At 36.5% G+C, this 16137-nt stretch overlaps 2 annotated features.

The window, feature by feature from the left end:
- Nucleotides 9368-9662: an enhancer, noted in NCBI's record as "tiled region #11181; HepG2 Activating DNase matched - State 9:DNaseU". NCBI's record gives its function as "activates a minimal TATA promoter and a strong SV40 promoter by Sharpr-MPRA in HepG2 cells {active_cell/tissue: HepG2}" and the evidence as "EXISTENCE:reporter gene assay evidence [ECO:0000049][PMID:27701403]".
- Nucleotides 12637-12809: a silencer, noted in NCBI's record as "fragment chr16:61626422-61626594 (GRCh37/hg19 assembly coordinates)". NCBI's record gives its function as "represses an EF-1alpha promoter that drives an FKBP-Casp9 reporter gene in an ReSE screen in K562 erythroleukemia cells {active_cell/tissue: K562}" and the evidence as "EXISTENCE:reporter gene assay evidence [ECO:0000049][PMID:32094911]".

The raw sequence follows: 16137 nt of genomic DNA, 5'->3' as shown, positions 1-16137 counted from the left end.
CATTTCTGAAACTCACATTCATAATGTAATTTGCAAAATAACACTAAGAATGAGTCAGAGCAGACATTTATCTGATCCCTGTGATTTTGTTTTTTATTCATATTGTTCTTTATTAGTGCATTCTTTTTTAACTACTAGACTTTATTTTTTAAAGCAGTTTTAGATTTACAGAAGTACAGTTCCGTATACCCCTCACTCCCCTCTGCCTCACCTACAGTTTATCCTGTTGGCATTCTACCTTAGTGTGGCATGTTTGTTACAATTGATGAGCCAATGTTGATACATTATTATTAACTAAAATCTGTCCTTTATGGTAAAGTGAATCTTTGTGTTGTATATACTAGAGCTTTTGACAAATGTGTAATGACATTTATCCACCATTACAGCATAGTCTCACTGCCCCAAAAATGCCGGTTCATCTCTCCCTTTCTCTCTGCAGCAGATCCCTGATAACACTGGTCTTTTTAATGTTTCCATAATTTTTCCTTTTCCAGAATGTCATGTAGTTGAAATAGTATAGTATGTAGTCTTTTCAGATTGACTTATTTCTTTTTTAAAAATTTTCAAATTTTTTAAATTTTACTTTAATTTCTGGAATATATGTGCAGAACGTGCAAGTTTATTGCATAGGTATACATGTGCCATGGTGGTTTGTTGCACCTATCAACCCGTCATCTAGGTTTTAAGCCCTGCATGCATTAGGTATTTGTCCTAATGTTCTCCCTCCCTTTGCCCCCAACCCTGCAACAGGCCCTGGTGTGTGATGTTCCCCTCCCTGTGTCCATGTGTTCTTCTTGTTCAACTCCCACTTATGAGTGAGAACATGTGGTGTTTGATTTTCTGTTACTGTGTTAGTTTGCTGAGAATGATGGCTTCCAGTTTCATCCATATCCTTGCAAAGGGCATGAACTCATTCTTTTTCGTGGCTGCATAGTATTCCATGGTATACATGTGCCACCATGCTACCTGACTTCAAACTATACTACAAGCCTACAGTAACCAAAACAGCATGGTATTAGTACCAAAACAGATATATAGACCAATGGAACAGAACTGAGACCTCAGAAATATCACCACACATCTACAACCATCTGAACTTCAACAAACCTGACAAAAACAAGCAATAGGGGAAGGATTTCTTATTTATTAAATGGTGCTGGGAAAACTGGCTAGCCATATGCACAAAAAAGAAACTTGACCCCTTATTTATGCTTTATACAAAATTAACTCAAGATGGATTAAAGACTTAAATGTAAAACCTAAAACCATAAAAACCCTGGAAGAAAACCTAGGCAGTACCATTCAGGACATTGGCATGGGCAAAGATTTCATGACTAAAACACCAAAAGCAATTGCAACAAAAGCCAAATTGACAAATGGGATTGAATTAAAGCAAAGAGCTTCTGCATAGCAAAAGAAACTATCGCCAGAGTGAAAAGGCAACCTACAGAATGGGAGGAAATTTTTGCAATCTGTCCATCTGACAAAGGGCTAATATCTGGAATCTACAAGGAACTTAAACAAATTTACAAGAAAAAAACAAACAACAACAACAAAAAACATCAAAAAGTGGGCAATGGATATGGACATATCTCAAAAGAAAACATTTATGTGGCCAAGAAACATATGAAAAAAAGCTCATCATCACTGGTCATTAGAGAAATGCAAATCAAAACCACAATGAGATACCATCTCATGCCATTTAGAATGGCAATTATTAAAAAGTCAGGAAACAACACATGCTAGTGAGGCTGTGGAGAAATAGGGAAGGTTTTACACTGTTAGTGGGAGTGTGAATGAGTTCAACCATTGTGGAAGAGAGTGTGGCAATTCCTCAAGGATCTAGAACTGGAAATACCATTTGACCCAGCAATCCCATTATTGGGTATATACCCAAAGGACTATAAATCATTCTACTATAAAGACACTTGCACAGGTACGTTTATTGCGGCACTGTTCACAATAGCAAAGACTTGAAACCAACCCAAATGCCCATCAATGATAGACTGATCCTTGTGATTTTTAACATGAGTAAAAGATGAGGAATAGGCTAGAACTCAGGAAGCCTCTTTTAGCCCAGGTTTCGAACCTCAATCCTGCCCTTGCTTCCTGTGGAACCCCCACTCCCCAAACAAAATAAAAATAATAATAACCCAAATCTTACTTAAGCATGAAATTTGTCAAAGATAAATTAGGAGGATTACTTTTTCTTATAATCCCTCATTTCTTGATCATGGATGGTGGAAGGAATGCTGCTGTTAGGTCATTAAATTCTCTCTGGTAGGATTATTTAGCAATGTTCAAGCCTTTCTCCTCTCCTCACATTTCTTTCTTGTGTATTTTCTTAAATGCTTCCTCTTCCCTCTCTCTTCATTCTAGAAGATAGTAAGGGCTATCAATCACCTAGGGCTATTCTGATGTTTTCTTGGCAGTTAATAATTAGATTTGTTTACATGTGGTTCAAAAGAATTTAATGAACATTTTTACATTTTTTTCACCAGAATCACCGTTCTTTTATTTTTGTTTTATACATTGCATTTTAAGTTTTCTTCACTATAACAAACATAGATGTAAATTCCATATTACTATTTACAAGCCAAAAAAGATAAAAAAAGATAAATCACTCTTAGTAAACCAAAGTTGAGATCAGTGTTTTCTTTTAATACATATAACATTATGCATAGTTCTAACATAGCTGATTATTAACACATGCATTATATAATGCTTTATTCTAAACTCTTAATCTAATATATAAATAATATTTGGAATGGCTTTATGATATTTTAACATAAACAAAACATATACACTACTATAATATTTTATATACTAAATTTACCAAAATTTAGTTAACTAAAACATCCAATAATAGATGCTTGCTCCATTGTCTGTGTTATGAGTATATTATCATAAATTAGTCCTTTCTGGTTCTGTGTTTATATATGTATTTTTCATACTGTATATGGTAATTTATTTATATAGCTGTCTTAAAAAGAATTTACTAGGTTAGGACTATGACATTTTTAGAATCCTTGATACATAATAACTCCATATTGCTCTGAAAGTGGTTTTATTAACCTTCATCATGTTTCATACTGAGTCTACTGTCTACTTCTGTATCCATTCTAAGCTTTTTAGTTGAAATTTCTATGGGAAGCGTGCTTGGGATAATCCTCTCTGCTCTGGAAATTGCCTTGGTGAATAATTAGATCCCAGCTGAACTGGCTTTCGTAGTGATTTATCAGGTTCACGTATTTTTTCCTTCATATATATTTCTACAATATCTGTTTTGCTCTTGATACCCCAGCCTTCTAGGCTCAAATAATTCTAGTGTATGTACTTTATCAGAACAACTTTGACACAGTCATACAAATACACAAAGACTGCACCATGTTTCCCCAACTGCCCAGTTCACTCACACACACACACACACACACACACACACACACACCTGCACAGCCTCAATTTTATCCAAAGCCTCCTTAGATAAGCACCCCATGGGGAACATGTCTGCTTCAGTTTTGATACATCCTTCAGATAACAAAAAACATTGCTCAGACCTTGAGAACTTTACAAAATGCTCATAACAACAGGGTCCAGGTGGCAGTCAGTCGTATGCAGCTCTTGCGTGGCAGGAGAAACAACTTGATACGTTATTCCTTCTAAGTAGTATGTGGAGGAGCTTATTCAGTTCACTATGGTCACTCACTGTTTATAGGAATGGGACTACTGGAAAATTAGCACCATTCAATTTTTGGAGTATTACAATGACATTTATATAGAGATAGGGTATCACAATGAAACTTTATACGTATAGTCATGCACCATATAACAATGTTGTGGTCAATGACAGGCCACATGTAGGATGGTGGCCTCATAAGATTATAATGGAGCTGAAAATTTATTTCATCTGGTGATGTAGCTATCATGGTTACTCTCCCGGAAATCATTCTTACATTCTGCACCTGTCTTAAATGTTAAAGAGAGAAACTTGTTATATGCCTTTTATTTTAAAAAGAAAAATCAAGACATTCTAGACTTTAATGATCTGATAGATAATACATGATAACTGATGTGAGCTTCGCTATAAATATTACAGCACAGAGTGTGGTTTAGTACCAAGAGTGCAAACTATAGTCTTTGGAGAGAAGAAAATAAAGTTTGATTCCTAGTTCTATAACTTGTTATCTCAACTTTGGTAAGGGACATGAAATCTATAAACTCATGTGTAGTCATCTATAGAATAGGACTAATAATTGTACCTACTAACTGTGTTGTTCACTCCACACGAAAGTCTTAAGCAACTTCTAACAACAAAGCACACTTTTGTCCTAGGGATAAAAAGATGAATTGTCACCAGCCTGAGCAACATAGCAAGAGCTCATATCTAAAAAATTAAAAAAAAAAACTATCTGGGCGTGGTGGTATGTGCCTGTAATCCAAGCTACTTGGGAGACTGAGGTGGGAGAATGCTTGAGCCCAAGTAGTTTGAGGTTGCAGTGAGCCATGATGATGCCACTGTACTCTAACCTGGGAGACACAGCAAGATCCTATTGCAAAAAATAAAATAAATAAAATAAAATAAAATAAAAATCAATTACCTAGTGCCATTGACCTGTAAGAATGAATACTATAATACAGTGAACATACTTGGTAAACTACTCAATGCTATAAAAGTTTAACGTATTTATATTCAGTATTATTGCTTTATAATGAATTATAATTCTATAATATGCAGGGTTGTAAACTAGCCATAACCACAATAAGATACCATTACATATATTTTGTAATAGTTTGCTTTAGAAACAAAACACACTGATAATACCAAGTGCCGACAAGGATATGGTACAACTGGAATTCTCTACACTATATGTGCATAGTAATACACAGTGGTACAGCAACTGTATAAGTCAGAGTTCTTCAGAGAAATATAACCAAAAGAATGTGTATGTATGGAGAAAATGATTTAAAGCATTGGCTCAGGCAATTATGGAGGCTGGCAAGTCCAAAATCTGCAGGGTGGGCTGGTAGGCTGCAGAACCAGAAAAGAGAATGTGCTACAGCTCAAATCCAAAGGCCATCAGGCTAAAATCTCAGGAAAGAGCCAATATTGAAGTTCGAGTCTGAAGGTCATCTGCTGAATAATTAATTATCCTTTGCTCTGGGGAGAGTAGTCTTTTGTTTTACTCAGGCCTTCAACTGATTGGAAGAAGACAAATTACATTATGGAAGACAATCCACTGAAAGTCCACTGATTTAAATGTTGATTTCAGGCTCACAGAAACATCCAGGACAGGTTTTGACCACATATCTGGGCACCATGACCCAGCCAAGTTGATATAAAATTAATAATGACAGCATCTTTCATACAATTACTAATCACCTGGCATTTCCACTCTTAGGCACTTACCAAAGTAAAATAAAAGCAAATGTTTACACAGAAATCTCTATCCAATTATTTATAATGGCTTTATTCACAATTGTCCAAAATTGAAAACAACCCTAATATCCTTCAACAGACAGAATATCCATACAATGGAATGCTACTCTACTATTAAAATTAAATAAAAATAAAAAACCAACAGTCACAGGAAATAGCATGGATGAATCTCATGTTCATTGTCCTACAAGAAAAAAGCCAGATACAAAGGCTACACAGTGTAAACTCCATTTTTATGAAATTCTGAGAAGCAGCAAAAGATAACGGCACAAAACAGTGATTAATGGTGGGGGAAGGAGGGTGTTGACCTCAAAGGAAAGCAAGAGGAAATTGGGGGGCTACTGAAACTGTTTTATATCGTGACGTTTTACAATTGTATTTGTCAAAACTTAAAACAATAAATTTTACTGTATTAAAATTATACTTAAATAAAAGTTGGCAAGTGCAGTTGTTCACATCTGTAATCACAGCACTTTGGCAGGCTGAGGCGGATGGATAACCTGAGGTCAGGAGTTCAAGACCAGCCTGTCCAAAGTGGTGAAACCCCCTCTCTACTAAAAATACAAAAATTAGTCAGGCATGGTGGTACGTGCCTGTAATCCCAGCTAATCTGGGGGCTGAGGCAGGAGAATTGCTTGAACCTGGGAGGCAGAGGTTGAAGTGAGCCTGGATAGTGCCACTGCACTCCAGCCTGGGCAACAGAGCAAGACTCTGTCTCAAAATACATGTATATATATTTAATTAAAAGTTCCAAAGGTAATTATGCAAAAATAGTACTCATTGTACATATAACATTTAACAACATGTACATGCTATATTATCTAAAAAGGCTCACACAATTGTGCATGCAATACACCTAGATGATACCCAGAACCTCAGCGTAAAAATTGTTAGTCCTCCTGCTTTCAAACTCATTTTATCCAAAGAGGTGGCTCTTCCATATATTAATACTCAGTAGATTAGGAGATAATTATAAGTGTACTTTTATAATTTTTAATAATTATTTTTCTTATAGCTTATAGTTTAGAAAGGTATCCTCTGTATATACCTTTTCCCCACTGATTCCTTCCAAGAAAAATATAAATTACTTGGAAAGCTTTCCCAGAACTTTTTCGACTTTAACTTAAGGGTCTTTTATATGTAACATATTTTGAATGTCCACTATCATGAGTGCCAGAGTCTGATTAAGCAATTTACTTCTAATAATAAACTTTAGGATAGTTAGATTTGTAACCTAGAATACAGGGACAGGGGTATTTGAAATTGTGACTCTTGCTTAAGTTTATTCAGCGAATAATCTGAATTTTGTAGATTATTAAAAAATCTGATCCAGATTTTTTACCTAAATTTGTCTGACTACAGATATTAAAATCTCTTACTTTCAGGTTTCCCCAGAAAACGTTCTGAGCTACAGCCACAGATACCTATATTTCTAAATTCCTCAGTTGTGTGCAGAGGTTGAAACAATCTCCCAGAAAATTTTCTCCAGGTAAGACATAAACATTGCATCCAATTTTAAAATGAAGACAGAGATAGTCAAACACAGGAGGGAGGGCATACACAGCAAGATATTTCTTCTGAGAACTTATATTAAAATCACCAAACACCTCCAACAGAAAATATTAGGAAAAGTGGCCTAACAAAATGTTTTGCCAGTCCCATGTCATTACTTAACATTTCTTCCAAAGCCATTTTTACTATTCTAGAATCTAATCAGTTAAATTCATCAACCTTCAAAAATGGAGAATGGGTCAGTTAAACTATTTGTGCATGTAATTACACACAAAGGGCTAAAAGAAGTAACAACACTCCTTGTTGCTTTGGAAACAGGCAAATTCTGTTCATTGTGCCCCTGTTTGGCCACCATTGTGACATGTCTTTTCACAAACTATACTAGTACTTTGGAACATAGCTAGAAATTTGGTATTCAAAGTCAGTGCAGTAAATCATCAACAAAATTGAGTCTCTCAAACAAGAGGGTCTTTGTTTATGACAAATAACAGCGGTCCATCCTCTGGATTAGACATCCAATTCCAATAATGACACTAGACCAGAAAACAGAACTGTGTCTCCACTTAGAGCAAGGCAATAAGTACTGACCTGGGCTGGTCATGTCCATGGAAGGTTGAGGAGCAAATTGCTCCTAAGAGAGATTGGAAATCACAGTGAGTCTACTCTACTAGCCTTCCAGTCATGCCAAACATCTCTGTCAAGATATTCTATAGAATGCCATTAGTGGAACAACAGGGAGAGGGAAGTCAACAGTCAGGCAAAAGAGGTCATTCATGAAGGAAGGGAAGAGGACAAGTGAAAATTACAGTTCTGACATTAGTAAGTGGGAATAAATGGAGATGCTCTCAGACTAGTGTCTGTAAGCAGGGAACAGGTAATTGCACATAATAAATTTCCTGTAATTGTCATTCTTATTGAGGCAGTGTGTCCTTTCTCTTTTTCATTGCCTTCTTTGGAAGTTTTGTGTGATTTGCTTTGTTTCCTCTCCTTTTCTTACATTCTGTGTTGATGTTGAAGCCTCACAGTTAATGAAGAGAAACTTCTAGAAATGAGTTCCTCTTTCCCTGGCAGAAAGAAGTAAAGCTCCCTTCGAATATATATTTCATTTCTTATATCTCTGCAATCCAAATTCCCGGACATTTATTCAAACACACAATTTTGATTACTCTTGTAAGGTCCAGTAATGATATGACCTGGCCTGGAGTAGCCTGGTGTCCAGTAAGGAAAACAGGGAAGAGCACCAAGACTTATTAAAAGCTTACTATGTGTCAGACACTGTATTAGATGCCTTTCTTTGCATTATGCAATAAAGTACCAACCACAACCAACCAGAAATTCAAAGTCTATGAAACATAAAGATCAAAAATATTTATGTTCACATTCATCCAACTCTAGGGCTCTCTTACATCTTGTGAATTAAGATACTGAAAGCATCATTGCAGATACAGTCTTCACATTTTTCTCATCTGCCATTCTGTGTTGATCTTTGGCGGGCTGCCTTCATGATTTCAAGAGGGATGCAGCAATCATAGTTGTCATATCCAGATCTGACAAATCCAAGTGGAAGAAAAGCAGCTTTGTACTGAGTAAAATCCCTTTTTCCAGAGTCTCTGTCATGTTTTCTCATTGGGGAAAATTGTGTCCATGTATGTGACTAAACCAGTCACTGTCAGAGCATGTAAGAATATCATAATTGACTTCAAATAATAAGGTTGAACCGCTTTAAAGAAAGGCTGAACTGCTTGGGAGGGAAAAATATCTGGACTAAATTGGAATGTTATGAGAAAGTGGAAGGAAGTAGGCAACTAATGTATTCTAGGACCTGTGACCCTTGACACTCAGTGACACCTCTAATGACTTGTATGGGATTTGAAAACTTTACCAGCAGTCCTGGAGGTTGACCTGGAACCCATTCAATGTAGCGTTGTTATTCATTACTATATTTTCCTCATTGGTTTTTGTCTATTTTACATGATGATTACAAGAAAGGGTTGGGGGAGATGTAATGAAGATGAGATTTTAAGTCACCACCTTGGCCCATTAAACATTTGAAAAGTCTATACATAAAAATGTCATGTCTCTCAAGCTATGGGAATTGATTTCAGTGCTTTGTGGTTTGCTTGCAACAAACATAACAATTTCAAGGCTTGGGCACTAAAAATGAAAACTTTATTGGATTCAACAAAAATGGATACAGAACAGCAAAAATACAGTATGTGGTTAACCACAGACAAAGCAGTCCCTTCTACTTATCTCTGCCTTTTTCCATTACTGCTGTCCTGATGGCTTTGATCCAGTAGATGATTATTTGAATGCAGAGAATCAATGTGATGCTAGCACATTTTGGGTAAGTTAACAAATAAATTAAGCTTCATGATCCCATAACATGTTTACATTTTTGCTTCTTCTTTTGCAAAAGGGTCAAATTCACTTTTGATATATACATCTTGAATGACCAAGGTGAGCCATTCAAGACTATCTGTATGAGCATGGTATATAATCACTTCACCCAGCAGGACAGATGGTGAAAACGTCAACTCCTAGTTGAACTTTGGACGCTGTTGAAAGATAAACATAATTTGGACAGGCTTTATCTCTGTTTGAAGTAAGAACTTTAAGGTCACAGGAAGTTCCTCTCATTTTGTAGGTGAATGAACTAGGTATCTGAGAATTGCAGGAATTTATCTAAATGTAATTATAGTAATAGAACAATAATATATTTAGTACGGCCTATGAAATTTGATGTCTGGTTATAGTGTGAAGGAACAATTATACTAATTTCAGAACTTCAACATAACAACTGGGAAGTGCCAAATAAACTTGTGGTTAAATTCTGACTGTTTTATTTTGTATTTATTAGTGGTTCTGTGACCTGAGTACAGTGACACCTAACTTTCAAGGCTGTTGTACTGATGATTAATAATGCAGGTGTGGCTTTAGTGGTGTAAGTATGGTCTATCTAAAACTTCAAAAAATGAAAGAGTGTAACTTGATGTAGTAATCTTATGCCTGTTTATCCTTAGAGTTATGTCCCGTCCTCTCCTCTTCATTATAGGTGAATTTATCTCTACAGGCTTCATTTTCCAATTTCCAAACTCTTCCATCAGCTGGTCTCTGCCTGGTTTCAATCACTGGAAATCTCAATCAGGAGAAGTGAAAACAAAAGTAAATAAAGACTATATGCACTGTGATAGCCTCCTCTGGATCCTGAAACAGTAAGAGAACATTAGTGGGAAACTGGTGAAATCAAAATAAAGTCTGAAGATGAGTTAATACTAATGTACCATATTTGTTAGCATCAGGGGAAACTGGGTGAAGATTAGGTGGGATCCATTCATACTATCTTTAAACTTTTCTGTAAATATAAATTTATTCATAAATAAAACATCTATTTAAAATTTAGAAATTTAGAAAATAAAAAGCCAGGGTCTTTATCTCTCTTGTCTTCATCAACAAGCTTCTGTAGCAGTAGCACATTTTCTCCATGGCTCTCATTCCCACTGAATGACCCACCTGGTCATTTTCCACTGGTGTGCTAATACACTTCTTTTTATTTTCTTTTAATCTTGGAATAATAGAAGCTGCCTTCTGTTGCTAGAATCTTACACACCGATCGTCTCCAATTTGGCTTTGTAAGTTTCATCAACTGTATAATTACCCAATGAGTTCTTCTTGCCCACTACCCAGATACAGCCAATTTACTGAGAAAGCAGTATTGCAATAGAGAAAGAGATTAATAAACACAGAGTCAGCTAAGCAGAATACTGGAGTTTACTACTCAAATTAGCCTCCGTAAAATTTAGAGACTAGAGATTTTTAAGAATAATTTAGTGAGTGAATGGCTAGGGAATGGGGAATACTAATTGATTGGGTTGGGGATTAGTTGAAGGGAGCTGAAGCTGTCTTCCTGGTATTTTCAGTTTCTGGGCGGAATCACAAAACTAGTTGAGCCAGTTTATTGGTCTGGGTGCTGTCAGCTGGTCCATCAGATTGGAGAGTCTGAAAAATATCTCAAACATAAAACTTAGCTTTGACAATACTGATGTTATCTATAAGAGCAATTGGGAAGGTTAGGAATATTGTGGTTTCTGGCTATATGACTCCTGTGCCATAGTTTCTAATATAGTGGCTTAGCTGTTTTCCAAAGACAGTTTAGTTGGTCTTCAAAGAAGGAGGAGGCTTGTTTCTGGAAAAGGCTGTTATCATTTTTGTTTTAAAGTTAATCTATAAACTAAATTCCTCCCAAAGTTAGCTTGACTTATGCTCAGGAATCAATAAGGGCAGCTTGGAGTTTAGAAGCAAGATAGACTCCATTAGGTCAGATTTGTTTCATGTTCGTAATTTTCCTATATCAAATTGTTTACAGTGTCATAATTTTTGTGAAGGTACTTTCAACGGAGTAAATATTTTCCTCCATTATTTATCTCTGTTTTAGAAATTCAGAGTAGTATAATTTTTCTTGTTTGGACATTGGCTGTTACACCGAGGGAAAACTTGCATAATTGAGGTTACCTCCTTTTTACTTGCAAAGTCCTCTTTGGGCTTTGATAATCTTGATCAAATAAGACACAGGTTACGAGACACTAATTAGTGAGATAAGTTTAATAATTTAATTTTCTCTCTGTTCTCTATCCAAGATAATTCTGAATACTAACTACCCAGATACTAGCATGGATCCTAAGCTTTCTCTGCTAAATGTGGAAATGTGAAATTCGTTAGTGTTCTTAAGAGTTTGAATTTTTTTTTTATACAGTCTTCCTCTGTTTCCCAGGCTGGAGTGCAGTAGCACTATCTCAGCTCACTGCAACCACCGCCTCCAGGGTTCAAGCAATTCTCATCCCTCAGCCTCGTGAGTAGCTGGAATTAAAGGCATATGCCACCATACCTGGCTAATTTTTGTATTTTTAGTAGAGGTGAGGTTTCACCATGTTGGCCAGGCTGGTCTCGAACTCCTGACCTCAAGTAATCGGCCTGCTCAGACTCCCAAAGTGCTGGGATTACAGGCATGAGCCACTGTGCCCAGCCAACAGTTTGAAACTTTAGAACTTGTAGGGCTGGTTCTTTAGCTTTACCTACCTACCTACCTACCTACCTACCACCAGGGTCACATCCCTGTGGGGAAAAAATGTCCAACTGCTCTAGAAATGGAGAAAAAATGAAAGAATAGAAAAAAAAGTTTGTCACTAGTTTATTTAGACACATTTATATCCTGGGTTTGTAAAAGAGACTTTAAAGATATTGTTACCGATGCTAAACACTATTCTTCCTCATTGCAGAGGTGAAGGCTAGGTTACATGAAGCATATCAAAAACTTGGGGTTAAGAACATTAGGCACATTTATCAGTATTACATGTTTTTGTGAGAATAAAAAAAAAAAAAAGAAATGCTGCAACATGGTGGACCAGGCCCCACTCAGGAGTCTTCTAATAGCTTCCAGGCAAGAGTCCTCTGTATAATTTTCTAACAGATTCTTTTTGCCCACTGCCTGGAAATGCCAATACGCCAAGAGCAGCAGGAGTTGCAGCAGAGAAAGAGTTTAATAATCACAGGGCCAGGCATGTGAAGAGATGGGAGGTATTTCTCAAACCTACCTCCCTGAGAATTCAGAGGCTAGAGTTTTTAAGGGTGCTTTAATAGGAGCCTGGGGGTACTGAGACAATTGATTGGCTGGGGATGAAATCACAGGGTTCTTGAAATGGTCTTCCTGCAGCTGAATCAGTTCCTGGGGTCACAGGATCAGTTGAGTCAGTAGCCTAGTGTGGGTCACAGATCCAGGTGGCATCCCTTAGTCTGCCAATATTCTAAATCTGAAAAAATATCTTAATACCAGTTCTTCAGGTTTCACAATAGTGGTATTATCTATAGGAGCAGTTGGTATAGTTACAAATCTTAGGACATCTGGTTACATGACTCCACGGTGGTAAGGACTATAGAAAGAAAGCTAAACAAGCAATGTGCCTATTTAACAAAGTTCAGGCCACTATCATAATTCTAACCTTGTGGCCTTTTATTAGCCTTACAAAAAGTAGTTTTGGTCCCTACCAAAACAAGGAGGGAGTTAGTTTCAAGAAGACGATCATCCTTGCTTTAGCTATATATTCTTTCCATAGTTAGCTTGACCTACATGCAGGTCTGAACACAGGCAGTAAGCTTATGAGGTTAGAAACAAGATGCGCTTAACTGTATTAGCTTTCTCTCACTTTTACAATTTTGCAAAGGCCATTTCATCTGGATAGCATATACTTATAGTTCACCATCATCATGGTGATGAACTTCAGAAATGCAGTCTCAGTGACTGCATGATTCATGGTAACTGTAAAGCTTGGAGATTATTATATATGTAATACCAAACAGTGACTTTGGCTTTCTGAAAAGTTCACTTAAAATAACCTGTACTTTCTTTATGTTTTACTGTTAGTTTACTAATATGTAGCCCAAAACATAATACAATGTTTCATTGTAGGCATGGACTAAAAACTAGAGGAGTTAATTATAGAATTTTATTATTCAAAGATAACAGAAAAAAACAGTTTATAATTTCTTCTACATTTGTAGTGTACCTGACATGAAAACAAGATATTTACAATATTCCCATGTAGAAAGGGCAGAAAGACCCAAACAGGTGGTGTCCACTTCCTCATATGTGACTATAACTGTTACTGGAAAGGGGTCCAGGTCCAGACCCCAAGAGAGGGTACTTGGATCGCACACAAGAAAGAATTTGAGGCGAGTCCATAAAGTGAAAGCAAGTTTATTAAGAAAGTAAAGGAATAAAGAATGGCTACTCCATAGGGTTGCCCGTTTTTATGGTTCTTTCTTGATTATATACTAAACAAGAGGTAGATTATTTATGCCTCCCCTTTTTAGACCATATAGGGTAACTTCCAATGTTGCCATGGCATTTGTAAACTGTCATGGCGCTGGTGGGAGTGTAGCATTGAGGATGGCAAGAGGTCACTCTTGTCACCATCTTGGTTTTGCTGGGTTTTAGCTGGCTTCTTTACTGAAACCTGTTTTACCAACAAGGCCTTTATGACCAGTATCTTGTGCTGACCTCCCGTTTCATCCTGTGACTTAGAATGCCTGTCTGGGAGTACAGCCCAGTTGGTCTTAGCCTTATTTTACCCTTCCCCTATTCAAGATGGAGTTGCTCTGGTTCAGACACCTCTGATATCACCCTCCTTCACATTTTTATAAATCTTAGAGTCAGACCAACTTTTCCATTGTTGAAATATTTTAAAATTCATCCCCTCCTTTTAGACTCAAATCTTGCATTCTGTTTTTGTATGTATTTGTGGTGATAATTATGTATAGCTCAATCTATTTCCAACTTCTCATTGGGTATCTGACCCATCTGATGATGATTTAATGACAATTTATTTTTAATTATATTATTATTGCCCTCACCTGTTTATATTGTGCTTCCCAAAACAAAAATGCCATAAATATATTCAAAGAGCCAAGGTGGATGGTTGGAATTGCTAGGTTCTTAGAATTCTGGGATCAACATTTATCAGACAGGTTCTAATTATCTTGTCATGGCCTTTTTCCACTCCTCCAAAGCCTACAAACAATTTCCAGTGACTGTCACACTAGCAACAGGGGGGCAGTACAATGATTCAGCCATCGGCACAACTCCCTGCTGTCCTTGTCCTTATCCTAGCTAATGAGCCCCAGTTGTAGAAAGAGCTTAGGCTTAGAAAACAGAATGTCCTAGTTTTCCTTGAAGAAGAAGTGGGACCTTGAACTAAGTGTCTTTGAATCCTAGTTTCCTCATCTATGAAATGGCATGAGAGTTCATAATTCTCAGTGGATTAAATACATGTAATTACAAAGCAAACACTCCAGCACTTGAACTATCATAGGTATTCAGGATTTATTGATTTCCTGCAATCCATATATAAAATAATCCCATATATTCCCAATCTCTTTTTCCTGGGCCCAATGTGTAGATAGAAGATAAATATTAGTAATAATAATAACAAAAATATCCTCAAACAGTATTATGGCTGATTTTCCTAAACATTCCCACATTTTCCATCTTGACAACTTGTGCCCATGTCTCCTATGCTTTAAGGATCTTGATTCCTGTGCAGATATTGGGATTTGAATTCAATTTATATCTACAAAATGTTCTGTTGTCTTTATTAGAGATTTGGTAAGAAAGGGAGTTGGCATTAATAGTCAAGGGAAGAGATGGAAAGTCACAAAGATGTGGGTTTGAATCTTGCTTCTGACAATTATTGTCTGTATAGCTCTGGGGAAAGTGTGTTCATTTATAAGACGAGAATAATAATTTATACTTCAAAGGGTATTTATGAGCATAAAGGGAACATGAAAAGGACTGAATGCAATCCCAGACTTAGCAAAATACAGCCAAATTTGGCAATAGTAGACTCATTTAATGGCATTTACATTTGCTATTACTGAAACAACTTTGGTTGTTTATTTTGGGGAGCCTTGAATTTATGTGAGTAAACAGTGACAGGAATCCTAGTTCTATCTGGTTCTACATTTGATACTGTTCTCCTACACTGAAGTCATGGGCTAGTTTCTCTCCCTCCTACAACTGGAATGTCTCCCCACCATGCCATTACTTCTTAGCCACTCATATCACTTCTCTGGGTCAGCAGACCATCAGTTCATAATTTTATGTCTGGATAAGAATTGAATCCACTATCCCTTTGTTAATTATTTACTTTTTATATATTGTGACCCTACTTTCCTAACTCCTGATTCCCACTCATTTTTTCTAAGTTTAGCCACCTCCTCTGCATATAATGTCAAGGATGTCTTGAAATTGTTATCATGCAACTGTAGTAAAAACTATTTACTGGGAGCCAATCTAAACAATTTTAACTTGCTTTAATAACGTATTCTTCCGTTCCTACAGGCAGAAATGAGCTTATGCGTGCAACCTGGTTTTTCATATTACCATTACACTACTTTCAGGGATTATCTTTCTCTCTGCTTCTTCATACTCCCACTTAAGCTACATGTTCTATTTTCTCTGACATAGATCTTTTATAGTTTCAGTTATAAAGAAAGTTTGCATCAAATAACTGGTCTGACGAAACTTAGAAGTTATATAGAATTTCAGGGGCCCACCTCCATTCTACATCACAATTTATTTTTTCATTTATACCTTTAATAATCATACCTTATGATTTTTAAATGATTTTCAATAT

The sequence above is a fragment of the Homo sapiens genome, chromosome 16 (assembly GCF_000001405.40).
Source record: "Homo sapiens chromosome 16, GRCh38.p14 Primary Assembly".
NCBI lineage: Eukaryota > Metazoa > Chordata > Mammalia > Primates > Hominidae > Homo > Homo sapiens.
Note: the sequence above shows the minus strand (reverse complement) of the source record. Positions and strands in the feature narration are given on the sequence as shown.